At 35.9% G+C, this 26,417-nt stretch overlaps 1 protein-coding gene across 17 annotated transcripts in view; it reads left to right on the top strand.

Annotated features, from left to right (window-relative positions):
- TRDMT1 (tRNA aspartic acid methyltransferase 1) overlaps window positions 1-26,417 on the top strand; it is a 64,337-nt gene that overhangs the window by 25,765 nt on the left and 12,155 nt on the right. For 2 of the 17 annotated variants that reach the window (XM_005252374.5, NM_004412.7), the window contains exons 2-10: window positions 1,248-1,357; window positions 6,991-7,067; window positions 13,671-13,742; window positions 14,360-14,425; window positions 15,534-15,603; window positions 16,679-16,762; window positions 18,124-18,467; window positions 21,174-21,231; window positions 22,272-22,401. In XM_005252374.5, coding sequence (XP_005252431.1) covers window positions 1,248-1,357; window positions 6,991-7,067; window positions 13,671-13,742; window positions 14,360-14,425; window positions 15,534-15,603; window positions 16,679-16,762; window positions 18,124-18,467; window positions 21,174-21,231; window positions 22,272-22,401 — 1,011 coding nt within the window. Of the gene's footprint in view, window positions 1-1,247; window positions 1,358-6,368; window positions 6,599-6,990; window positions 7,068-13,670; window positions 13,743-14,359; window positions 14,426-15,533; window positions 15,604-16,678; window positions 16,763-18,123; window positions 18,468-21,173; window positions 21,232-22,271; window positions 22,402-23,808; window positions 25,188-26,417 lie in introns of those variants that run through there. The other 15 variants (NM_001351223.2, NM_001351222.2, NM_001321007.2 and 12 more) reach the window with 15 other exon arrangements.

Below are 26,417 nucleotides of genomic sequence, written 5' to 3'. Positions count from 1 at the left end.
GGATACCTGCTGAGTGTCTTGAGCCTAGCAGCCATTTAGTATCAATCCTTGGAGACATTTGTGCCTTTCTTTTCTTCCTGGCCTCATCTCTTCTAGGCCTCAGTGGAAGGTTATGATTGTTTTCTGAGCGTGTGTGAGCCTTTCTCCTTGCCCTGTCTCCTGTGGTCTGCTTTTATTTCCGGGTGCCTGCTGCATGAGTCCTAGTTCCTCACACCACTCTTTTTTTTTTTTTTTCCTTTTTTGATATTTGGGGTAAGCTAATCAGCTAACTATTAATCAACTAATGGTATTAAAGAATCGGCTACTTGGATCTACTATGTAATATTGTATTGCTTTCTCTGATGATTTTCTGAAGTCTCAAATACTTTCATTTTTAAAACTTCACACTTTCTCCTGACTTGGGTCAGGGCATGCACATAATTGGTTTTATACATATTTGGGGAAAGAGGGTGGTCATTGTAAAATATAGCTACGGCTACAATTGTGGAGTTCCAATTTCGGCTAACATTAAAGAATATGCTAGAATTCTCTGGATCTGAAAACATTTTGAAAATGGTTTTCTTCACCAGCAAGACAGAAGGGCAGTGAAGGCATTCCTTTATAATTATTTCCCTTATTCTTCTTATATTCTCTTCTGGTCTGTCAACATTTAAAATGTTGGTAAATGAACCATTTACATTTGGATACCAATTAATTGTTCATCTCATTTAAAAACTTATGTAAGCTCTAATTGGGTGAATTTTGTCAAATGTGAATTACATCTCAATAAAGCTGTTACTAAAAAAACAATTAAAGCATTTTCAATGGTACTGTGAAGCAACATTGTATTAATGTGAGAAGGTGCAGAACAAATGGTAGTTTATTTATATAAAGTTCTAAATCATAGGGCTTTTAGAATATATCTCACTTTTCAATTTTTAGTTTGTTTTAACTTAGGAAAACTTTCTATTTGACTTATAAGTGTGTCTCTTAATGAGGGAGGAAAGCAAATATAAGAGGTAAGCACTAAAATATTTAAATCTTCTCTTTAGTATTGGAATGCTGTTTAGAGAGATGAACCAGAAGTCCATGTTCAAATATTTCACTTCATGCCTGGCTTCCCCTGGCCTGACCTTCCACTGACAGTCTGAGATGAGGCTAATAAATGAAGAAATAAGGAAATGGATTACTAAATTCTGCTATTTTGATTTCTTTCTATAATGAACTTAAGGACTTTTCTTTTCAAGATACTCCATTTATCATTACAGAAAGCTGTATACCTGCACAAGTGGTGGCTGCCATTGATGTCAACACTGTCGCTAATGAAGTATACAAGTATAATTTTCCTCACACACAGTTACTTGCCAAGACGATTGAAGTGAGTAATTGTCATTGTTTTAATAAGTATGTAGCAAGGGAAATGTGATTGAAAAACACTGCCTAATACTGGTTTCCGTTGTCTTAATTGGAAGATAAAGCATATATAAATTTAAGAGTTCAGGAGAAGGAGATTAACATTTTATATCCTATCAGAAGATAGCATGCTTTTAAAAAAAAGTCCAGCTATAGACAGGGAGATCAATATTTTGGTCTTTCAGAGAAATAATTGAAATGTAAGGATATGCTTGACTTCTAAATGCTTGGTTCTGTGGTGATATTGAACTTCGAAAAAGTATTTACTTTTATTAAATACTTATGCAATATATATAGCATGCAGTAAGAACAAGGGAGAAAATCATTGGCTTTTACTGAATGCTTCTTATTTTAGCAAACCTGTCAAGGTTAACCTTTTTCACCTGTGGTGACTTCAGCACAAGTATTGAAACACTGATTTATGTTGAGTTATTTTTTAAATAATGTGAAATTGGCTGGGCGCGGTGGCTGACGCCTGTAATGCCAGCACTTTGGGAGGCCGAGACAGGTGGATCACGAAGTTATGAGTTCGAGACCAGCCTGGCTGACATAGCAAAACCTGGTCTCTACTAAAAATACAAAAATTAGCCAGGTGTGTTGGCACATGCCTGTAGTCCCAGCTACTTGGGAGGCTGAGGCAGGAGAATCGCTTGAACCCAGGAGGCGGAGGTTGCAGTGAGCTGAGATCGCGCCACTGCACTCCAGCCTGGTCGACTTTGTCTCAAAAAAAAAAAAAAAAAAAAGAAATTGTGTTGTTTCTCCTAATTTATCATGAAAAATTTTACAAACAAATTTCTCATGAAATTTCTCATAATTTACATGCAATAAATATGTAGTTTATTGTACGTAATTTTAAGTGGGCAGTTTGAGTTTCGACTCAATCATCAACTGTGTAACTACTACCACCACAATCAAGACTTAGAACACTTCCATCATGCTAAATTGTTCTTAGTGCCACATTTCTGTCAGTCTCCAACCCCAACCCAGGCGACAATGGATCTGCTTTCTTTTCATTATGGATTAAGTTTTCCCTTCCTAGTATATCACAAATAAAATCATAAGAGTGTAGTTCTTTTGAGTGGAACTGCTTTTGTTTAGTGTTGATGGTTTTGGAATTCATCATGTTTTGTTGTATATCAATAATTTGCTCTTTTTTATTGTTGAGTGATATTTTGTACAGTAGAATATCATATACTACAATATGTGTATGTATTCACATTATTATAGACATTTAAGTAGTTTCTAGTTTTTTACCATTACAAGTAAAGTTGCAATGAACATATATGTACAAATCTGTGTGGATCTTAGTTTTCATTTATTGTGGATAAATACCTACATTTATTAAACTTTATGAGAAAATACCAAATTTTCAAAGTTTTTGAAGTGTTTTTACCATTTTACATTGTCACTATTTTTATTTGGATTTTTAAAAAATTCATTATTCTTCACTAATGTCTTTTTAAAGACAATTAGTCATAATATTTATTCAATGTAAACTGAAATTTATTTTTAAATATCTAAATATCTATATCTATCTTTGTTTTATTTTCCTGTTGGATTCTCTAGGGTTTACAAGATGCATCTTTTACTTGTGGAAGCCCGCCTTCAAATAACATTATACCACTTTATGTTTAAATTTTAACAGTATTCCTCCAATTTCCCCTACTGGTCTATTTTGATATTTTGTCTTGCACTTTACTGCTACGAATGTTATAGGCACCAACATACATTGTTACTGTTTTTTGGATTAAATAGTCAAATATCTATTAAAGAACTTTTAAAAAGCACAAAGTCTTTTATATTTATCTATATACCTACAATTTTCAGCACTTTTTATCCTTGTGTTTTAGATCAAAGTTTGCATGTGATATAATTTTTCTTCTTCCTGAAAAACCTTCTTTAGTGTCTCTTGTTGGTTATATGTGGAAAGGGACAAATTACCTTGGTGCTTTTGAGTAAAAAAGTGTTTTATTTTGTCTTCACTGTGAAATATAATTTTTACTCATTTTTTTTTCTTTTTTGGAGAGGCAGGGTCTCACTATGTTGCCCAGGCTGGTCTCAAACTCTTGGGCTCAACTGGTCCTCCCATATCAGCCTCTCAAAGTGCTGGGATTACAGGCATGAGCCACTGTGCCTGGCCCACTGAATCTTTGATTGCATTCATTTTGAAAGATATTTTTGTAAAAATCTGTTTGTTTTCTTTTAATACTTTCCAGTGTTATCTGGGTTTCTTAATTTCTGACTTAAGGTCTGTAATAATTTCTGCTTTCATTCCTCTTAATATATTGTGTCTTTCTTTGTCTACATTTAAGATTTTATCTTTATCACGTGTTTTGAAAAGTTTTATTTTGATGTGCTCTGTATGTTTTTCTTTATTTGTAGTGCTTGGACCTTGTGGTGCTTTTCTTATTTATAATTTTCATCAAATTTGGGGGGTTTGACCATTATTGCTTCAAAAATAATCTCTGTTCTCTTTCTTCACTTTCTCCAGTTACATACTGTAGAGTAAATGATAGCTACCGAAGACAGAGTGATCCGTGATAAATATCATTAATGCCTCTGAAGAGGAGAATGACTCCAGTGGAACAAAAACTCTTAATAAAAATAGATAAAAATTTTTCTAGAATGAAATTTACAATATAACATCCATGAGCCCTTCTGGAACAGATGACTGCATCACTTAATCTAGCTGAGCAAGAGATGAATCAAAGTAGAAAACCCAGGAATGAAGCTGCCGTGTTAGGAGGAAAACTATGGTTAGAAAATAGCTGAAAATGTTGTAAAGCTTTGCAGTGTAGAAATAATAATGTAATCGGAGTGGGAAGAGGCAGTGAGACACAAAAAATATGTCTTTGCAGATAAATGAAACTATCAATTTTTTAGGACATTATTCAGTGTTGTTGTCAGGGTCTCAGCAGAGCTGGGAAAGAGAAAGCTCAGCTGTCAAGAGCGTTAAAGTAGCTGATTAAGGCCACAAGCCAAAAACAAAAGAGTTAAGCCTTCACTCACTTACAGTGGTGTTACTGGCAAGAATCTAAAAGCAGAGACAATGCCACTCTCTCGGTTCCATTTACCCATGGATCAGTGTATACGTGAGGGCCCTCTCACTGTTGAGGGAATCCTTGGCCTTAAGGGAAGGGAAAGCAGGGAGGGCTAGCAGTGGAAAAGTGCTGGGGACTGAGTCAGAATGGCACACTCTTCAGGTGTCATCAGTGTCTTCAGGGTTTCCCACACCTCCCCACACAAGGAGGCCTTGGCAGAGAAGTTCTGCTCAAGGCCTCAGATAAGGACACCTCGGAATGAAGGCTCTGGGACTAAGAATGCAAATGTTCCAAGAGCCTGACTGCTGGCCTGGTTGCCTGAGATCTTGACTACACACACACACACACACACACACACACACATCTAAATCCAGTAACATACCAAATGGTGAAACTTTAAAAGTATTCTCATTAAAATAATAAAAAGACAAGGATGTCCACCATTAGCACTATGACTTGATATAGTTGTGGATCTGTTAGCTAATGTACTTACACAGAGAAATATCATATAAATAGAAATATTTAAAAATGTGATTGAGTATGCCGGAAAATACCAACAAGTTAAGCAAAAATAATATATGAGGAACAATTAGTGCTTTAATAAGGACGCTGGCTACAAAAATATGATAACCTACAGCATACAATATACAATATGTCTACTAGAAGACATAATAGGAGAAAGTTCCTATTTTTAGTAACAACACAAGAATCTGTATAACAAGAAATCTATATAACTCACATGGGAGTTAAAGAGATTTGAAAAATGATGAAAGCGTACTGTGGTCTTGGATAGGATGGCTGAATATTGTAAAAATATTGGCTCTGTTTCACTATAACTTCAATAAAATAGTCAAAAGTTGTTGTTTTCTAATCTACCAAGTTCTTCCTAAAGTTCAAATGAAAATTCAGTTTAAGAATAGCCAGAAAACTTTCTGAGAAAATAGGCAATAAGGCAGGCAGAGGGACAAATACACCTGCCAGTCAATACAGGATGAACAGTGTTAGCCCACTGACTTGATCTAATATTATCTGAAAGCAAAAGTATTTTCCTTAACTTGTATAGTCATATAAGGTAAAAAATCAATTTCCTTTGGCTTTAAAATATTTAGTCATTAAAAATAACCTGTGTATTTCCATGACTACTTTATTTAATCCAAATACACTTTCATTGACCTAGAATACCAGGTTAAATAAGTTGTGAAGGGTTCAATTTAGTGATGAATTTTTGCCTAACTGCCTTATCAGTTGGCCTACACTATTAAAAAAATCACTATTTTCAAGAATCTGTTAAAGCTGTAATTTTTTTAGTGGCTAGCTGTATTAGAGACATTGACTCTGTTTACTTCCTTTCGATTCTAGACATAGGATGCCCCTGGAATAATTGCTATGAGAGATTGTTGTTTTTTACTTTAGTTGTAGGAATTTAGCTGTTATCATTCCACGTCCAGTTGCTTATCATAATGGCCCTGTATGTACAGGCTGTTGAACTTGAATGTGATGTGCTAATACCCTGCCCCGTGTGTTCTGGCAGACTGCTCAGTGTAGGATTTTCAGATTGCTTTCCTTAACACTGGGGAGTCGAGAAGTGCTTTAGGAAATTTTCAATATCTGATTTTGATTTCATTTTCACAGATGTATCTTTAATTATTTAAAATCCTATGATCAAAAACTGATAGACAAGCACATTCAAACTGTTAATACAATGGAGACAACTGACATGTTCCCACGTTAACTCACTCTTTACAGAATTCAGAGTAAAGCTTTTCCTGCTTTATTCATGTGCTTGAACTTCTTAGAAGTGGGCTATAATTAGGAAGGTTTTGATTCTGGGCTCATTTCTTTAAGTTTCTAGCTAAAGATGTGCACTGAGAGTGCTTAATGTGAGTTGGCAAACCCCTGACGTGTGCTTCCCTGTGTTTGTCTTCTGAGATATAGAAAAGGAGCAACACAGCACAGTTTTCAGCTACTTAGCCCATTAGGAATTCTTTTGATGCATCTTGTCAACAGTCATTTGAAGTTCATTGCACACAACTGCAAAACAAAATAATTGTGGATATCTGAGAATGAGGCCCTTTTCCATTTGATAATATATTAACAGATGTATATGAAAGGGATGGTGACTGGTCTGCATATCACATTTGCTAAATAAAGAACATTATTGACAGGTAGGTATTTAAAAATTTCCTAGACCCCATCTCCATGAACGTTATCAATTATAAAATAAGGTTCTCCACGTTTTACTCTAGAAAACAGCAGTGTTACACTTGAGGTGTGATACAGGCCAGATGTGCTTAGGATCCAGGAAACAACTGTTCCAGCTCTGGGCTGGTGCTGGGACCTTGGGGGAAGTCACTTAATTTCTTGTAGCTTCAGTTTACTGCCCCACTTCCTTCACAGTATTGCTTTGAGAAGTTAGTTAACCAAAGTTGATTTGACAAGCATTGTATTATAAACTGTTTCAGTTTCTGATATATTTAATTATAGTTAGTATTTTCCCTCTTCCCCATTCTATCCATGTTTTTATGTTCTTTTTTCCCCCTAAATGTTCATTCCTCAGGGCATTACACTCGAAGAGTTTGACAGATTATCTTTTGATATGATTTTAATGAGCCCTCCCTGCCAGCCATTCACAAGGTATGTGTCATAAATATTTCAGTGTTGTATTGGTCCATTTTCATGCTGCTGATAAAGACATACCTGAGACTGGGCAATTTACAAAAGAAAGAGGTTTACTAGACTTACAGTTCCATGTGGCTAGGGAAACCTCACAATCATGGCGGAAGGCAAGGAGGAACAAGTCACGGGCAGCAGGTAAAGAGAGAGATGTTGTGCAGGGAAACTGCCCTTTATAGAACCATCTGATCTCATGAGACTTATTCACTGTCACAAGAACAGCACAGCAGAGACCTGCCCCCATGATTCCGTTACCTCCCACCGGGTCCGTCCCACAACACGTGGAAATTCAAGATGAGATTTGGATGGGGACACAGCCAAACCATATCAAGTGTAGAGAAAGTGCTTTTGAAGGACTTACTAAATCAGATCATACTGTAGTGTCAAACATGGACACTCTGAAGTTTATTAGCTGCATTTCATAGTTCGGAAATTTTTTCATAAATCCTTCTATCTACTTATGTATGTATTTATTTATTTTTAAATAATAATAATTATTGGGACAGGGTCTTGCTCTGTCACCCAGGCTGCAGTGCAGTGGCATGATCACAGCTCCCTGCAGCCTCAATCTCCCAGGTTCAAGCAATCCTCCTGCCTCAGCCTCCTGAGTAGCTGGGACTAAAGGTATGTACTTCCATGCCCAGCTAATTTTTAAATTTTTGGTAGAGATGGCGTCTCACTATGTTGCCACGGCTGGCCTAAAAGCCCTGGGCTCAAGCTATCCTCCCACCTCGACCTCCCAAAGTGCTGGGATTATACACGGAGCCACCATGCCCAGCCTCCATTCATATTTATAATTAAGCATTAATCACAAAGGAAATAGCAGTTGCTACCAGATGAGCAAATTAATTTGGTCAAAAGTAGATATGCAAGACTGTAGGATACCTCTTTTATACTTACCTAAGACACAATGTTTATTTCCAGCCCAAAGTACCTTAATTCATTTAAACTAATGAGCATTCAAGAATATCTTTCTAATACTGATTAAGCAAAGTGAATTTCCACAATAAATATTCAAGTCCTAAATTGCTTAATTGTACAATTTAAAAGCTAGTTAAGCATGCACTTGTGAACTTTACATTTCTTAAAATTCATATGTACATTGAATAATTCTGACTTTTCATAGCAACGTTATAAACTCTTCATTTAAAAAATTATATATATGTGTGTATATATATATTTGGCTATATGTTTCAGGAAATTATATCTTCGACCAAATCTTGACTAATTGATTTTCATTTAGATATTTTTAATAAGAGTATTTTGGATTATTTTAAATGAAAATAGCAGTAGTAATCCTCTAAGTGTCTGTGTCTTATGCAGAGGATGTCATTTAATTTAACAAGCTTATGGGGTAGCCATTGCTGTTACAATGATTTTACAGATGAGAAACTGGGGCATAGAAAGGTTAACTTTCTCAAGGATATACAATTAAAGAATGTCAGAGCCAAGATTTGTTAATCATTTTATATATTCCATGATTTTAAGTAGAATATCATATGTAATAACCAGTCTAATTCAGTGAATGAATATTCTAATGCCAAATTTCCATCTACATTTGGATTTATTTAAACAATTCTCTAGGAAATGAATTTCCCAAGGATTTGTGGTTCACCTACAAGCCAGGCATTATTTTTGATGCTGTAGTTCCTGTCCTTTGGGAGCTCATAGTCTAATGGGAATGGCTGACAAATAATTATCTTATAATGTTATCTTAAATTATCTTATAAGCTATATAATAAAAGAATGCTGAAAGTGTCACAGGAGTACAGAGGAGAAAAGGGCTTGCTGCATACCAAGAGAAGGGAATTCTTTCAGAGGTGATGTCTGAACTGTGTCTGGAGGTAGATTAGGAGTATATCAGAGCAGGCAGAGGCCATTCCATCTCAGGGTGGCTCTAGGCACGTGCAAGAGTGTGGCCTGTGGAGTACAGTGAGCAGGATATACACAGCGGAATGCAGCTCCAGCTCTGTGAAGCCTCAGGTAATACTGCAGAGGGCCCCGTAGCTTTCCTACTCCCACCTCCCCCTTGTCTTAGCACAGCTCCAGCTGCTGATGGCAGGAGTAACTGATTCTGTAGTCCTCATGTGAAAGTCTGACAGGAAAGGACAAATAAGAACTGAAGATTTCTGAGAAGTCTGTTCACATCCAGTCTAATCCCACAGCTGAACCTCAGATCCACTGATGGTTTTGGTCCTGCCATCAGGTATGAGGAAACTGACCAATGATGCCAGCTAACTTATTTAAGACTCTGAAGATAAATAGCATGCTTTTTTTTTATTATTATACTTTAAGTTTTAGGGTACATGTGCACAACGTGCATGTTTGTTACATATGTATACGTGTGCCATGTTGGTGTGCTGCACCCATTAACTCATCATTTACATTAGGTATATCTCCTAATGCTATCCCTCCTCCCTCCCCCCACCCCACAACAGGCCCCGGTGTGTGATGTTCCCCGTCCTGTGTCCATGTGTTCTGATTGTTCAATTCCCACCTATGAGTGAGAACTTGCGGTGTTTGGTTTTTTGTCCTTGTGATAGTTTGCTGAGAATGATGGTTTCCAGCTTCATCCATGTCCCTACAAAGGACATGAACTCATCCTTTTTATGGCTGCATAGTATTCCATGGTGTATATGTGCCACATTTTCTTAATCTAGTCTATCATTGTTGGACACTTGGGTTGGTTCCAAGTCTTTGCTATTGTGAATAGTGCCACAATAAACATACGTGTGCATGTGTCTTTATAGCAGCACGATTTATAATCCTTTGGGTATATACCCAGTAATGGGATGGCAGGGTCAAATGGTATTTCTAGTTCTAGATCCCTGAGGAATCCCCACACTGACTTCCACAATGGTTGAACTAGTTTACAGTCCCACCAACAGTGTAAAAGTGTTCCTATTTCTCCACATCCTCTCCAGCACCTGTTGTTTCCTGAGTTTTTAATGATTGCCATTCTAACTGGTGTGAGATGGTATCTCATTGTAGTTTTGATTTGCATTTCTCTGATGGCCAGTGATGATGAGCATTTTTTCATGTGTCTTTTGGCTGCATAAATGTCTTCTTTTGAGAAGTGTCTGTTCATATCCTTTGCTCACTTTTTGATGGGGTTTTTTGTTTTTTTCTTGTAAATTTGTTTTGAGTTCATTGTAGATTCTGGATATTAGCCCTTTGTCAGATGAGTAGATTGCAAAAATTTTCTCCCATTCTGTAGGTTGCCTGTTCATTCTGATGGTAGTTTCTTTTGCTGTGCAGAAGCTCTTTAGTTTAATTAGATCCCATTTGTCAATTTTGGCTTTTGTTGCCATTGCTTTTGGTGTTTTAGACATAAAGTCCTTGCCCATGCCTATGTCCTGAATGGTATTGCCTAGGTTTTCTTCTAGGGTTTTATGGTTTTAGGTCTAACATTTAAGTCTTTAATCCATCTTGAATTAATTTTAGTATAAGGTGTAAGGAAGGGATCCAGTTTCAGCTTTCTACATATGGCTAGCCAGTTTTGCCAGCACCATTTATTAAATAGGGAATCCTTTCCCCATTTCTTGTTTTTGTCAGGTTTGTCAAAGATCAGATAGTTGTAGATAAGTGGCATTATTTCTGAGGGCTCTGTTCTGTTCCATTGATCTATATCTCTGTTTTGGTACCAGTACCATGCTGTTTTGGTTACTGTAGCCTTGTAGTATAGTTTCAAGTCAGGTAGCGTGATGCCTCCAGCTTCGTTCTTTTGGCTTAGGATTGACTTGGCAATGTGGGCTCTTTTTTGGTTCCATATGAACTTTAAATTGGTTTTTTCCAATTCTGTGAAGAAAATCATTGGTAGCTTGATGGGGATGGCATTGAATCTATAAATTACCTTGGGCAATGTGGCCATTTTCACAATATTGATTCTTCCTATCCCTGAGCATGGAATGTTCTTCCATTTGTTTGTATCCTCTTTTATGTCATTGAGCAGTGATTGGTAGATCTTCTTGAAGAGGTCCTTCACATCCCTTGTAAGTTGGATTCCTAGGTATTTTATTCTCTTTGAAGCAATTGTGAATGGGAGTTCACTCATGATTTGGCTCTCTGTTTGTCTTTTATTGGTGTATAAGAATGCTTGTGATTTTTGCACATTGATTTTGTATCCTGAGACTTTGCTGAAGTTGCTTGTCAGCTTAAGGAGATTTTGGGCCGAGATGATGGGTTTTTCTAGATATACAATCATGTCATCTGCAAACAGGGACAATTTGACTTCCTCTTTTCCTAACTGAATGCCCTTTATTTCTTTCTCCTGCCTGATTGCCCTGGCCAGAACTTCCAACACTATGTTGAATAGAAGTGATGAGAGAGGGCATCCCTGTCTTGTGCCAGTTTTCAAAGGGAATGCTTCCAGTTTTTGCCCATTCGGTATGATATTGGCTGTGGGTTTGTCATAGATAGCTCTTATTATTTTGAGATATGTCCCATCAATACCTAATTTATTGAGAGTTTTTAGCATGAAGGGTTGTTGAGTTTTGTCAAAGGTCTTTTCTGCATTTATTGAGATAATCATGTGGTTTTTGTCGTTGGTTCTGTTTATATGCTGGATTACATTTATTGATTTGCTTGTGTTGAACCAGCCTTGCATCCCAGGGATGAAGCCCACTTGATCATGGTGGATAAGCTTTTTGATGTGCTGCTGGATTCGGTTTGCCAGTATTTTATTGTGGATTTTTGCATCGATGTTCATCAGGGATATTGGTCTAAAATTCTCTTTTTTTGTTGTGTCTCTGCCAGGCTTTGGTATCAGGATGATGCTGGCCTTATAAAATGAGTTAGGGAGGATTCCCTCTTTTTCTATTGATTGGAATAGTTTCAGAAGGAATGGTACCAGCTTCTCTTTGTACCTCTGGTAGAATTTGGCTGTGAATCTGTCTGGTCCTGGACTTTTTTTTGGTTGGTAAGCTATTAATTATTGCCTCAATTTCAAAGCCTGTTGTTGGTCTATTCAGAGATTCAACTTCTTCCTGGTTTAGTCTTGGGAGGGTGTATGTGTCGAGGAATTTATCCATTTCTTCTAGATTTTCTAGTTTATTTGTGTAGAGGTGTTTATAGTATTCTGTGATGGTAGTTTGTATTTCTGTGGGGTCGGTGGTGATATCCCCTTTATCATTTTTTATTGCATCTATTTGATTCTTCTCTCTTCTTTATTAGTCTTGCTAGCGGTCTATCAATTTTGTTGATCTTTTCAAAAAACCAGCTCCTGGATTCATTGATTTTTTGAAGGGTTTTTTGTGTCTCTATTTCCTTCAGTTCTACTCTGATCTTAGTTATTTCTTGCCTTCTCCTAGCTTTTGAATGTGTTTGCTCTTGCTTCTCTAGTTCTTTTAATTGTGATGTTAGGGTGTAAATTTTAGATCTTTCCTGTTTTCTCTTGTGGGCTTTTAGTGCTATAAATTTCCCTCTATACACATGCTTTTGAACCCTGGTCCTCTGTTCCTGCTGCTCAGGCTCAATTCAAGTCTTCATTTCTGCTTGATCCTCTATTCCTGCTGCTCGGGCTCAATTCAAGTCTTCATTTCTGCCTTATCTTTGGTCATGTTGTGAATCTTTCTTGTAGGATCTATTTGCTAGCCCAAGTACTGCCTGTTTACATGACTTGTTTTGACCCTGGTTACTCTAACCAAGTTGCACCTCCTGCTTATAGAATCTAGACTTCAGCTTAAGTCTCTCCTATTTACTTTGGACAAAATTGTGTTAGTTTTACCTACTGCTTTGATTGGCTTAGATTGGCCACCAGTGCCATTAGCTTCGGGTTGCTACTCCATTCAGCAGTTCGTTCCTCTGAACTCTGGTTACATCACCAAGGGGAAAGCAAAAAGTGTAGTCAGCCAGCACATGTGTGTGTGTTTTCCTAAACATAGTGATTTTAAGAGAGCAGTTGGTTTTATTCTGCATTGACTTCTTGTTCTTTTTTGATTAATGTAAGTCATTTGTCATATTGTTTTATAAAGATAAATTTTAAGTGTACTTATTAGATATGTAAGGATTTTTTTCTTTTAAACCTCTGCCTTCCAGGTTCAAGTGATTCTTGTGCCTCTGCCTCCTGAGTAGGTGGGATTACAGGCGTACCCCACCACGCCCGGCTGATTTTTGCATTTTTAATAGAGATGGAGTTTTGCCATGTTGGCCAGGCTGGTCTGGAACTCCCGGGCTCAAGTGTTCTGCCCACCTCAGCCTTCCGAAGTGCTGGGATTATAGATGTGAGCCACCACGCTCGGCCTAATTTTTGTATTTTTAGTAGAGACAGGGTTTCGCCATGTCGGCCAGGCTGGTCCCGAACTCCTGGCCTCACGTGATCCACCTGCCTCACCTCCCAAAGTGCTGGAATTACAAGCGTGAGCCTCTGCGCCTGGACCCCTTTTTTCTTTATAAATGAATAAATGTATTTTCTTCTCTGTAACAACAAAGATGACCCTATTTTTTGTGAGGACCAACTTATTTTTATTCTCCTTTTGACTTAAAAAGTGATTTGACATCTTTTTATCAGATTCTTAATAAACTTTCTGTGTTTTTTTTTGTTTTTTTTTTTTTTTACCCCTTTAGGATTGGCCGGCAGGGTGATATGACTGATTCAAGGACGAATAGCTTCTTACATATTCTAGATATTCTCCCAAGGTAAAAACTTAGGTTCCTGTACAAGCTTACCTTTCATTTGAAACTCCAGGTCTGGAAGAATGTGACGTTTGTCATTTTGTAGAGGATAGCCATTTATACATGCTCCCTTGAGATATTGGGCCTGTCATTTATCTTCTCCTACCATGACTAATAGAGTAACTGCAAATGTTTCACAATTCCATGCTTGCCACCACGGTGAGTGACAGGGAATCACAGCCTACTAGCTAGATTCTGCTGCCTCTGCTCATAGTGTTGATGCAGATGGTGCTAATGTTAGTGAATGCTGTTACCCATGGCCTGGAAATATGTGCAAACCCTTAAAGCCACCCTTCTATGTGAGTAGCCGCCCTTTCAGTTGACACCACAGAGGCTCTGTGTGAACCCATGCTTGAGATAAACTTCAATGGAAATCAACATTTCAAATGTTAACTTTATCAAGTGTGCTGTGTTTAAGGGAAAAATGAATAAAATATATGTTGTCTCCAGCCTTATAAAATTCCATTTTAAAAAGAGTTCAGAAAATTACTTACCTCGTATTTCCCACAAGTAATGATTTTCTTTACTTTTTCTTCTTAGTAATGAGATATTTAGAATTCCATTTGTTTATTTTTTTATAGATTACAAAAATTACCAAAGTATATTCTTTTGGAAAATGTTAAAGGTTTTGAAGTATCTTCTACAAGGTAAAAAAATGTATTTGTCTTGCATACATCTTAGACTTGGTATATCTTATAGTAGGAACTGTTGTGAAATAAAAATCTTAAAAACCAGTGCATACATTCTGACATTTTATATATTAAATGTCTTACTCATCAGTATTGATTTTACTAATAATGTATTAGTAAGTATTACAATAAGTATTACCAAGTTTTGTTCAACTGATTCTCTTCTATTTTGATATTTTCTAATTTTTCTAGAGTAAGTGGTTGGTAAGAATGGCATTTCTCAGTTTTAGTCATTTATATTGGTGCTTATTTCTGTGGAAGTAGAAATGTTTTCAGTAAGAATTGGTCCTGTTGACAAGTATTTTCTGCCCTACAGTTGGATGCAGGAAGAATTCCTGTGTCGGGGTTCTTTCAGATGGTGGCTCAGCTGGAGAGAAAGCATCCACCCGAGTCCTTGAGTCAGCTGCTGTCTGTAACAGTGCTCCCATCTGACTGGCCACCTTGAAGATAAAGTTCTAGTTCCCATGCAGATTGATCATCACTAGATTAGCAATTCTGACTTTCATCAGTTTGGATAATTTATCTGGCAGCTTTATTTATTTGTAGTAATGAATTATGTATATCTTTTGATTCAATATTATTTCTGAGGTGCTGAACTTAGTAAAAACGTAGGGTCATTATCTTTCTAAACAAGTGAAGTTACAGTTTTCACTTAAAATGAGGTTTTGTGGGCCGGGCGCGGTGGCTCACGCCTGTAATCCCAGCACTTTGGGAGGCCGAGGCGGGTGGATCATGAGGTCAGGAGTTCTAGACCAGCCTGGCCAAGATGGTGAAACCCTGTATCTACTAAAAATACAAAAAAATTAGCCAGGCGTGGTGGTGGGTGCCTGTAATCCCAGTTACTCAGGAGACTGAGGCAGAGAATTGCTTGAACCTGGGAGGCGGAGGATGCAGTGAGCCGAGATTCTGCCATTGCATTCCAGCCTGGGCAACAGAGTGAGACTCTGTCTCAAAAAAAACCAAAAAAACAAGAAAACAAACAAAAGAAACCCAGCTTTTGTGTACATTATTTAAATAAGAACTGCCTTTCCAAGTAAGAATTAAAGTTTTTTTTTTTTCTTTTTAGAGACCTCTTGATACAAACAATAGAAAATTGTGGCTTTCAGTACCAAGAGTTTCTATTATCTCCAACCTCTGTAGGTATCACAGTTATAAATGCTTATATAAATTATAATTTAAAGGCTTTTTTTCCCAAAGGAAATTTGATTCGATAAGCAGAATGGCTTTATTTTGGATAATATTATAGGTAAACTGAAAATAGTTTAGATTATGGGTCTTCCTTCCCAAAGAATTTAGTGCATGCATATAAATTCATTCATACATATTTTATGAAAAACAATTATATAGCTTGAAAGAGAGACTATATTTCTCTTTTAGAGAGCAAAGGATAGCATATTTTGAAAATACGTCAAGTTTGGTATTTCCAAACTTGGTGTTAATAATGTTAATAATTAATAATGTTAATGTTTCAAAATAATCCAAAATAGAAAACAATATAAACATGTAGTAACTTTCTAGTTACTGCTTTGGGGACATAACATTAAGTTGAAAACACTGCTTCCATTTCATGGATAAGAAATTTAAGTAATTGATCATGATAAGACAAGTTATTTGACAGATTTGAATTTTGCAAGTGTTGCTGTCAGCTTTTTGTTATTGTTCTTGTTAGTTTCTTGTCATCTTTAGCCATATTATATTGTTCTTTGCCCAGAAATTAATAGAAAACCCATTTCAAAAATTCAAGATACAAGCTGTGGAAATTGGCAACATATTTGATCTCTTAAAATTTATTTCATATTTATTGCCTTTTAGCTTGTAAAACATAGTGTATCATCCTTTTTTAACAAAATGAGGTAATAAATAGCCAAGAATAGCTATATTTGAATTTTTAAATTATTAATATATTATCAATAATGAATGTAAAAATATCTATACTACGTCTTAGCTGGGAAATATAAAATGGAAGTGACTTGTAGATATATTTGTCAGTTTCAATCTTTAACTCATTCAAATAAAAGTACAAAGTAGCAACTTAATAGTTTAAAATGTACTACAATGGAGTCTTCTACAAATCCGTAGCAAATTTTGCTGTGGTAGAAGCTAAATGTAGGCTCGTTTGAGTTTTTTGTTGTTGCTGTTTAACTTGGTGCTAAAGTTGGTACCGCTCTCTTTAATTTTTTAGAGTAACTAACTGCTTTGCTTTGCTTACAGCTTGGCATTCCAAATTCAAGGCTACGATATTTTCTTATTGCAAAGCTTCAGTCAGAGCCATTACCCTTTCAAGCCCCTGGTCAGGTATTATTATTGGAATTTTATTATGAATATTATGGCTTATTTATTATAAATATATATTAGTCTGCTAATTTATTTTCAAGAACTACTTTGTGTAGCTGTCTCTGTGTACTATAGAATCTAAAGTATAGACCATGCCCTAGGTCCATCTTCAAGGCTGTTTTCATCTTGCCACTTTTATTGTTTTAAAACAAAACAAAAACAAAACAAAACAATGTTTCTTTTTCTCATTAGAAAACAAATGAGTTAAAAAACTTATCATTAGTATTGTTATCTTCCTCCTTCCCCCATAATTTCCCTTTTGACCGTTGACTATTTTGCATTTATCATTTTATCCTTCCCATAGAAGCCATTGGTTACTTTTGATAATATTTTATCTTAAAAGTGGCTTACAAATATTTTAATACATGGGTTGCATTTTCTTTAAAGCCAATGCTATTTAGCTTAATTGATTAAAATATAGTAATGATTAGTACAAGCTAGAATAAAATGCTTAATTGCTACAGAAAGAATCTCTAATTATGTGAGCAGTTTTACATGCTTAGGTCAAAAAACGGGGATGGATAACTGAGTTTCAGCATTTCGGCGAAACTCTCCCTAACTTTCATAGGTAAGGACACAAAAGTCATGTCTACTAATAAGGGATTGGTAGTGTCACCTCAATCCCTTTATAATATGATACTAATATTGCTCCCTTTCCATAGTAGCCAATTCCAATGTAAAGTTAATATACCTTACACATTGTATTAAGTTAACAGTAACTTTATACATTGACTTCAAGGACTTCATCATTAAAAATTCCTGGAATGGTTTTCCTTTTACAAAATAGGACTTTATACATGGTTGTATGTTTTGCAGAAACAAGTTTTTCCCATAGGACTCATGAGTAGAAATAACCTTTCACAGTGAAAACCGCTTTTCTTTTTTTAATTGCTAGTTTTCCTTTAGATCATAGCTATGTTTTGGTTTTTCCTTTTTAATGAAGGAGTATGGCAAAACTTGATTCAAAACATGTTTTCTGGAAATGTTAGTGTTGCTTTCTAAACTTCTTTTCCAAATAAGATACAAATATGATTTATCTATATTCAGTATATACTTTCTGTTAGTTTATTGAATGTTTTTATTAATAAATACTGTAAACACTAATCCATGAAATAAATCATCTGCAGCCTGATGACAATATAGCTATATGATTAATAACGTGTAATAACTTGTACAAATACAAGTAAACCACAATTTCTATCTTTTAATGGCAACCCCATAAAGGCTAATGAGGTTGTTTTCGTAATGTTGACTGGACATTGTTAATTTCTCTTATTTTTAATGCAACTTTTGACAATTTGTGTATTTTTATGTAATGCCAGGTACTGATGGAGTTCCCCAAAATTGAATCTGTACATCCACAAAAATATGCAATGGATGTAGAAAATAAAATTCAAGAAAAGAACGTTGAACCAAATATTAGCTTTGATGGCAGCATACAGTGTTCTGGAAAAGATGCCATTCTTTTTAAGCTTGAAACTGCAGAAGAAATTCACAGGAAAAATCAACAAGATAGTGATCTCTCTGTGAAAATGCTAAAAGATTTTCTTGAAGATGACACTGACGTGAACCAGTATCTTTTACCACCAAAGTCATTGCTGCGATATGCTCTTCTGTTAGACATTGTTCAGCCCACTTGTAGAAGGTCCGTGTGCTTTACCAAAGGGTAGGTTTTAAAGATCTATTGATCCTGTATCCAAAATAACCAGGTTTTTTAAAGCTATTGTTTCTTTAAGTTCTTCTAAAAACAAGGAGCATTTTATAAAATGTTTTTGCTAGAATGAGGTATTTTCCCTTAATTGCCTACTTCATGTTCCAGTAGAACACAAGTAAAAATTCCGTTTGGCAGAACATTATGTGCACCACCCACAAAAGTGCTCATAAAAGACAATGTCATTTGTTTGGTGACCTTCATAGGAGCTTAAATACCCGTAGTGGAGACATGGTTTCTGTAGACTATTACTTGCTAATTCTTTAGCACTTCTGTGGCACATCATACCTCAAGTGTTCACTCTTATGATCAATGTATAATAAGAAATTAAATTTTAAACTAAAGATGTAATATTGAGTCATCTGGAGAATACTAGGGTAACTTTTAAATTTAAATTTTATTCAGGTTTTTATATAAGTAATATATGCCCAAGGTTTCCAATTCAAAAGATAACTAAGATTGTAAGACTCCCTTCCATTTCTGTCTCTTGACCATTCAGTTCTTCTCCCCACATGTGACCAATGATATCAGTTTACTGTATAATCTTCCAGAGGTATTGTATCTGAAAGTGTATTTAAGTATCCATGTATATTTTATCCCCCTTTATAAGTAAATGGCAGGATATTATATATATGCCCCTTTTTTCACTGCACAATATAAATAGAATATTATCGCATATCAGTACTTAAAGGACTTTCTGTTTTCATGGTGTAGGTATATTATATAATTTACTTTACTGGTTACCTATTCATGAACATTTAGAGGGCTTCCTTTGGGTTATTACTTGAACATTTAATACAGTTCTCACTAATTTTTTTAAACCTAGAAAGGGGAAAATTAGACCTTTTTAAGAAAAATTTTGGCCGGGCACGCTGGCTCATGCCTGTAATCCCAACACTTTGGGAGGCTGAGGCAGGTAGATCACCTGAGGTCAGGAGTTTGAGACTAGCCTGGCCAACATGGTGAAACCCTGTCTGTACGAAGACTACAAAAATTGACCAGGCATGGTGGTGGGTGCCTGCATTCCCAGCTACTTGGGAGACTGAGGCAGGAGAATCGCTTGAATCTGGGGGGCAGAGGTTGCAGTGAGCCGAGATCATATCCCTGCACTCCAGCCTGGGCGACAGAGTGAGACTCTGTCTCAAAAAAAAAAAAAGAAAAATTTTGCCAAGGATCTCTGTCTGTGCTTTCTGAATGCTACTCAACCTCATTTGGTAGGTAGTTGTATGATTTGTCAATTCAGGCTTTCTGTTCTTACCTTCTAGCTAGCTATTAATATCTTGTATGATACACTGTACCCCAGTAGAACCATACCAGAGTCATTCTGAATTTATTATACTCTGCCCTTGTACTTCAGGGGAAAGAGTTTATTGCTTTCCATTATCTTGAAAGACTTCACTGGGCTGTTGTCAATTACCAAGTTCAATAGGTTCTGTTTAGGACTCTCATAAAATAAGACTTAGCAATTTTGTAATAAAAAACAACCTTGAAATTCTTTTCTAATTATAAAGATGGCATAAAAGGAGCCTGATGGTAAAATTTATTTTGGTATAGATACTGTGTGTATATACACACGTATTTATATGTGTAATATATATGAAAAAGACAGTTTGAAAAAAATTATTTTTTTCCTGGTTTGACTTTTTCCCTCTAATTCTTATTTTAAACTGTTTTCTTTGTGAAAAAGAAATAATGCTAATATGTTGAACAGCCAGCTTGGCAATAATCTTAGAGAGAGAAATACTGCTAATGACTTGCATTTCTGAAGTGTTTTATACTTTCTATGGAGTTTTTTATATAATGGTCTGATTGTTGTATGAAAGTGATCATAAAATCATACTGTGTTAAATGACAAGCAGACATAGGATCAGTGGCACTGTGTTTGCTGTGGTGTTAGAGAGCAGGGCGGTGGGTTCCTGAGAGGAAATGATGGTTCAGGCCTGATAAAAATGGCAGCAATTTCTTTTCACCTGTACAACATTTAGGTTAATGTGGCAAGGGAGCCAATATTGAATTATATTTGAATATAAAGTGCATCCTTTCCAGTGATGAACATTCAAGACAAGACAATTAATAAAAAGAAATGACAATTTATATTTCATCATTCAGTGGTGTTTACTCAACTCAAAAAACTGTGCCATGTTTCATTTCTGAGACATTTATTATTTATTATCATTTTTTTGAGATGGAGTCTCACTCTGTTGCCCAGGCTGGAGTGCAGTGGCGTGATCTTGGCTCACTGCAACCTCCGCCTCCCAGGTTCAAGAGATTCTCCTACCTCAGCCTCCTGAGGTAGGCACGCACCACCACGCCTGGCTCATTTTTTAAATATTTTTAGTAGAGACAGGATTTCACCATGTTGGCCAGGCTGACCTCGAACTCCTCTGACCTCAGGTGATCCACCCGCCTGGGCCTCCCAAAGTGCTGGGATTATAGACATTAGCCACTGTGCCCGGCCCATTGATGAGACGTTTAAATGAAACTATATTATGTCTTTTACCTAGTAATTTTTTACCTACAAAGGATATTTATGTGACATTATTCAAGATATTTCAGAAGGATGTAACTGTGTAGATTGATTAATTCATTCAATAAATATTTAAGAAATTTAGCATTAACACATACATCAGGTGCTGCATAATTGTTGTGTTGATTTTTCAGATATGGAAGCTACATAGAAGGGACAGGGTCTGTGTTACAGACTGCAGAGGATGTGCAGGTACTATGCATGTTTTAAAGCTAAAACACTTTAAAACTTTTAACTAAAATTGTTTAATACTTTGAGAACATTAGAATAATTTTATGCATTCAACTGGCCATGAATATATATTTTATTCATTCATATGTATATTCATATATATAATATTTTATTACTGTGGAATAAATCTTTTTCTTGTTGCTCTACATGAGTATATGCACAAGGAATGTTTTATGTTTTTCTTTTTCTTATTTTTACCTTCTGCTTTTCTTTTATTCCATAAATAGTAGTTGAAACTCAGCCTACAATAGTTAATGTTCTCTAAAATGTTGTACAAACATCTTAATATTGGAGCCCTCCTTTGCAGCACACACTATAAAACTTCCTTTTAAGGAAAAAAATAATCTTAACAATGTGCTTTATGAATACTTCAGTTGTTAACTCTTCATGGTGTCATGGTTGAATACAAGTCTAATATATAGCAAGTTTTATATTTTTTTGAATACTTTTAAAGTGAGATCACATTATCTTTTATACTGATTCAAACTTTTAACTACTGATAAAATTTACCCATGGTAAAAATTCTGTTATAGGCAATTGAATATCTGGATTTGAGAAATTATATTTGCTTAATATATTTAATCATTTTAAGGAAGTATCTTGATGAACCTGAGTATAAAAATAAAAGTTTTAATGATTCTCCTGTTTTATTGTAAAATTGACTTTGTTGTTTTGTCAAGCTTCTTTTGCATTTTTCACTATATTTCTTTTATATTGTCATTTATTGTTTATACTCTTATGATTTTAAGGGCTCAAAAATGACAGACACCCTGAAAAATATCCTGATCTGTTGAATGTTAACCTTTTTTTCTTTTCAAAGTTTACATTGCCCTTATTGAGCCAATATGTAGTCTATTGCACAGAGCCATTTTGCCCTGTGCACTTTGCCACTGTGTGTTACAGCAGACTGTATGTCCATCGAGTTTCAACTATCTCACAGCAGGAGATCTTAAATCTAGTTGCACATTACTTTTTTAGTTATCTTGGGTATTTTCTTACAGGTTGAGAATATCTACAAATCCCTTACCAATTTGTCACAAGAAGAACAGATAACAAAGCTGTTAATACTTAAACTGCGATATTTCACTCCTAAAGAAATAGCAAATCTCCTTGGATTTCCTCCAGAGTTCGGTATGTGGGATACGTGCAGAATTCAGCTTTCATGTATTAAAACTCTCAAAAATCTTTAGGGACTTGTGTGTCTAGGACTTGCCTAAACAAATGGGCTCAAGAAACCTCTTTCCTTTCCTGATCATGCCATTTATGGCATCTTTCTGCCCTCTTTCCCCTCATAACTGCCTCATTCGGTTCTCTACTGACTCATTCTCCCCCTCTCTAACTCCAGTAGTGGGTCACAGAGGTTGGCATGGCTAGAAGGGTCACATTGGCAACTCCTTGCCTCTTTCCACAGATGGCTGTGCATAGCATCCCCTTTCCAGCTTATTTTCTTTTCCAGAGGTCCTCTCCTAATCACCCCACACTAGAGCTTGTGAAAGAATGCTTTCGATTGGCTTTTTATAAATTAAAAGGCAGTTGAGGGATTATTTTCGAAGGGTGGGGGTGTATTGGTATTTATTCTCCTCAGAGATACACCTGTGTCAGCTGTGTGCCCCTATCCTTCCCTACAAGGGGTAGGTGGAGAAAGAGGAGGTGGAGAGGCTGTCTAGGAAGGAGCTTTCATAATGGAATGAAAGGGGGACTCAGAAGATGAAATTGACACAGGAGATGAATTGACACAGAGTTAATGAAAGATTGGGGATCTACAGCAAGGAATCTCAAGAACAAATGGGAAGATTTAGTTGTAGAGTGAGAAAGTCAAAGGCCTAATTCCATTGGCAGTCCAAGAAGTCCAGGGATTGGTGCTCTGAAGAGATTGGACACACTGCTTTGGCCTTCTCAGAGATGCCCCAGCCCATCTCCCTGATCCCACTACCGGGGCCAGTGCTCTCAGCTCTGAGGAGGCTGTGGGTTTCTTAGGCCTGGGGTGGGCATGCTCCCAGTACCTGGCTGATGGGCTGGGAGGAAGACTCACGTCCCTCGAATGCTTCCCTGGCTAGAGAAGGAGGAAATGTGCTTTTGAGGACTCTTGAGAGTTTGAATGCAGAAAAGTCAAACTTTGTTAAGTCCAATACTTTTGTAATATTAATATGGCACTATCCCTCAAATAAATAATGGGTTTAATAGATCGTGTTTCAAATTCTAAATAATGGATTTAAGCTGAGGTTTTGGAACACAACCATTTTGTACATAGGGAACAAACTGCCAATATAATTTGACTACTCTCTTGGTAATTGATTCTCTGAGTGTAGTCGCAGCAACCAGTTTTATTTTGTACTCCCTGCCTCTTTCTTGGTGATCTCATTTTTGTCCCAAATATCCTGGGGAGTGTTGTTTAAGAAAAACACAAACTTTCCTTGTAGTTTATGTCACAAAACGAGTGACAGCATTACAAAACAAATAGAAGAGCTGAGAATTAGACTTAAGAATTCTCATTCCTAGTCTGCTTTCCTAGCTACTATTTTTTTTTCCTTTTTTCAGATGAGCAATCAGACATACTCTTGAAGACAGAAAAGAGATTAACTATTCAATTAAAATGAATTCCTCAGCTTTTCTTCAGTGCTTTTTTGTTTTCAAAGGGCAGTAGTCACTTTGGTAATACTGAACCTTGGTAAGGAGCACAGAGCCCAGAGTCAGACTGAATGATTTCATATCCCAGCCCCACCTTAACCGTTCCCTTCTTTAGTTTACTTCTCTGTAAAATGAGGATGATCATAACTCCTGCTTCATAGAGTTATTGTGATAGTTAAATGAGTCAATGTTTATGAAATTCTTATCTAATATCTGAGACATAATGTAAAATTTGTTTTAGCTTTCATTTTTAGAATGAGCCATGTATTTACTTTTATAATCTTTATTTCATAAATATTTTTCTCATTTTTTAAAATTTTAAGTTGGTGAAATAGAATTTTTCAAAGCTCTTTGAATATATATGTATAATACTTAGAAAAACAGCCTTTGAAATTACTGAACCTCCTTCTAAAATACGTGATATGTTTTTGGAGTTGAGCTTACCCTGATGTCACCACTGAGCAGCACCGTGACACAACTGTCCCTCATGTGTGTTTCCAACATTATTGACCCTGGGTCCAAAAATGGGCATTGTTTGAGCTGTTTGTCTACTGGCAATGATGGATCTGCATTGATCCTTCCAAACCCTCTGTCCTGGTTCTGTGACTGGTGGTGTGTATTCTGCGGTAGCGGGCTTTTGAAGAAAAACACTAACCTGTCCTTACGGGTGAAAGCTGATATCTTGACCTTGTTCATCCCATGTTTCTTTGTTTTTGAGGATTATTATTGTTATTTTTAATGTATCTAAGTTTTTTAAAAGTTGTCTTTTAACTTAAAAAATTATGTCATTTTTTTCACAAATTGTTAGATTGGTAGAAAAGTAATTTGCCATCACTTTCAGTGGCAAAAACTTCAATTACTTTTGTGCCAACCTAATAGTTTAGATTTAAAGAAATATGCACAGATGCTTTACTTTCAGTGGCAAAAACTGCAATGCTTTTGCACCAACCTAATAATTTAGATTTAAAGAAATATGCACAGATGCACGCACACACACACACATGCACACACACATAGATATAATTTGTACGAATCTTACTTATTTGTTTTCAAACCTTTCTTTCCTTCTGAGGTAATTGTAATATTGCAAAAGATCATCTCTGGGATAGTCTAAAAGCCTGTTTGTAGGTACATTTGTACCTCTGGCTACTTTGAAGTAAATAATTTTAGATAAATAATGTGCTTACCTAAGATATTATCTTTAGAATAGAAACTTTATGATCATGTTTAATTGCAACAGTAATTGCTGTTATTTTATTGCAGTTAATAAAATGTCAAGTGTCAATGAAGCAACTTTATTGTAACTAATTCTACCTTCCTGTCCTCATGAGTATATGAAATTTTGCTATTCTTAATGCTCCTAATTGTTTTTCATTTTCTTATCTAACTTATTTTTCCTTTATTTCCTTGCTATGCTAGAGTATGCTGAATGTGGAATCCTGCCATTATAACTAACATTATAGTGCACACGCTTGTACGTGGACAGTCTTTTATGCTGATATTTGCAAGGCCTTCTTCCAGCATATAAGGGATCCATGGGCCTTTTTGTTTTAAGAAAGGAATGTAGCAAATGGAAGTCCAATATGAGAAAGGCAATTTGTGGAAGCAGAGTGTAAAAACACCCGTGGGGTACTTGTATCCAGAATAGGTAAAGGACTCTTACCATTCAACAATTAAAAAAAGAGAAATCCAATTTTAAAATGGGCAAGGATTTGAGTCAACATTTCTCCAAAAGGAATAGATAAATGGCCAATAAGCACATTAAAAATATGTTAGTTAGTTATTAGGGAAATGTAAATCAAATCACAATGTGATATTACTTCATACTCATTAGGATGGCTAAAATAGAAAAGACAAGCAATAACAGTATTGATGAAGATGTGGAGATATTGGAACCCTCATACACTTTTGGGTGTGTGAATGTGAAATGGTGCAGCTGCTTTGAAAAACAGTCTAATGGTTCCTCAAACATTAAACATAGAGTTAGTGTGTGACCCAGCAGTTTCACCCCTATGTATATATCCAAGAGAATTGAAAATACGTATCTATACAAAAACATACATGAATGTTCATAACAGCATTATTCTCAACAGCCAAAAAAGTAGATACAATCCAAATGTCTATGAACGAATGAATGGAAAAATAAAATGTGATAAATCCATACAATAGAATATTATTCACCACCAACAAGGAATGAAGTATTAATACATGCTATGACATGAATGAATGTTTAAAACATGTTTAGTGAAAGAAACCAGACACAAAAGACAACATATTTTATGGCTCCATTTATATGAAATATAATCCAGTAGACACTCCTAGAAACAGAAAGTAGATTAATGGTTGGGGGCCGGGAGGTAGTAGGGAGTGACTGCTAATAGGTACGAAATTTTTTTTTGAAGAAATGAAAATATTCTGGAATTAGATAATGGAGATATTTGAAAAACTCAGTGACTATACTAACAACCTCTTAATTGTACACTTTAAATGGGTGATTTTTATGCTATGCAAATTATATC

Source organism: Homo sapiens, chromosome 10, assembly GCF_000001405.40.
Source record: "Homo sapiens chromosome 10, GRCh38.p14 Primary Assembly".
Lineage (NCBI taxonomy): Eukaryota > Metazoa > Chordata > Mammalia > Primates > Hominidae > Homo > Homo sapiens.
Note: the sequence above shows the minus strand (reverse complement) of the source record. Positions and strands in the feature narration are given on the sequence as shown.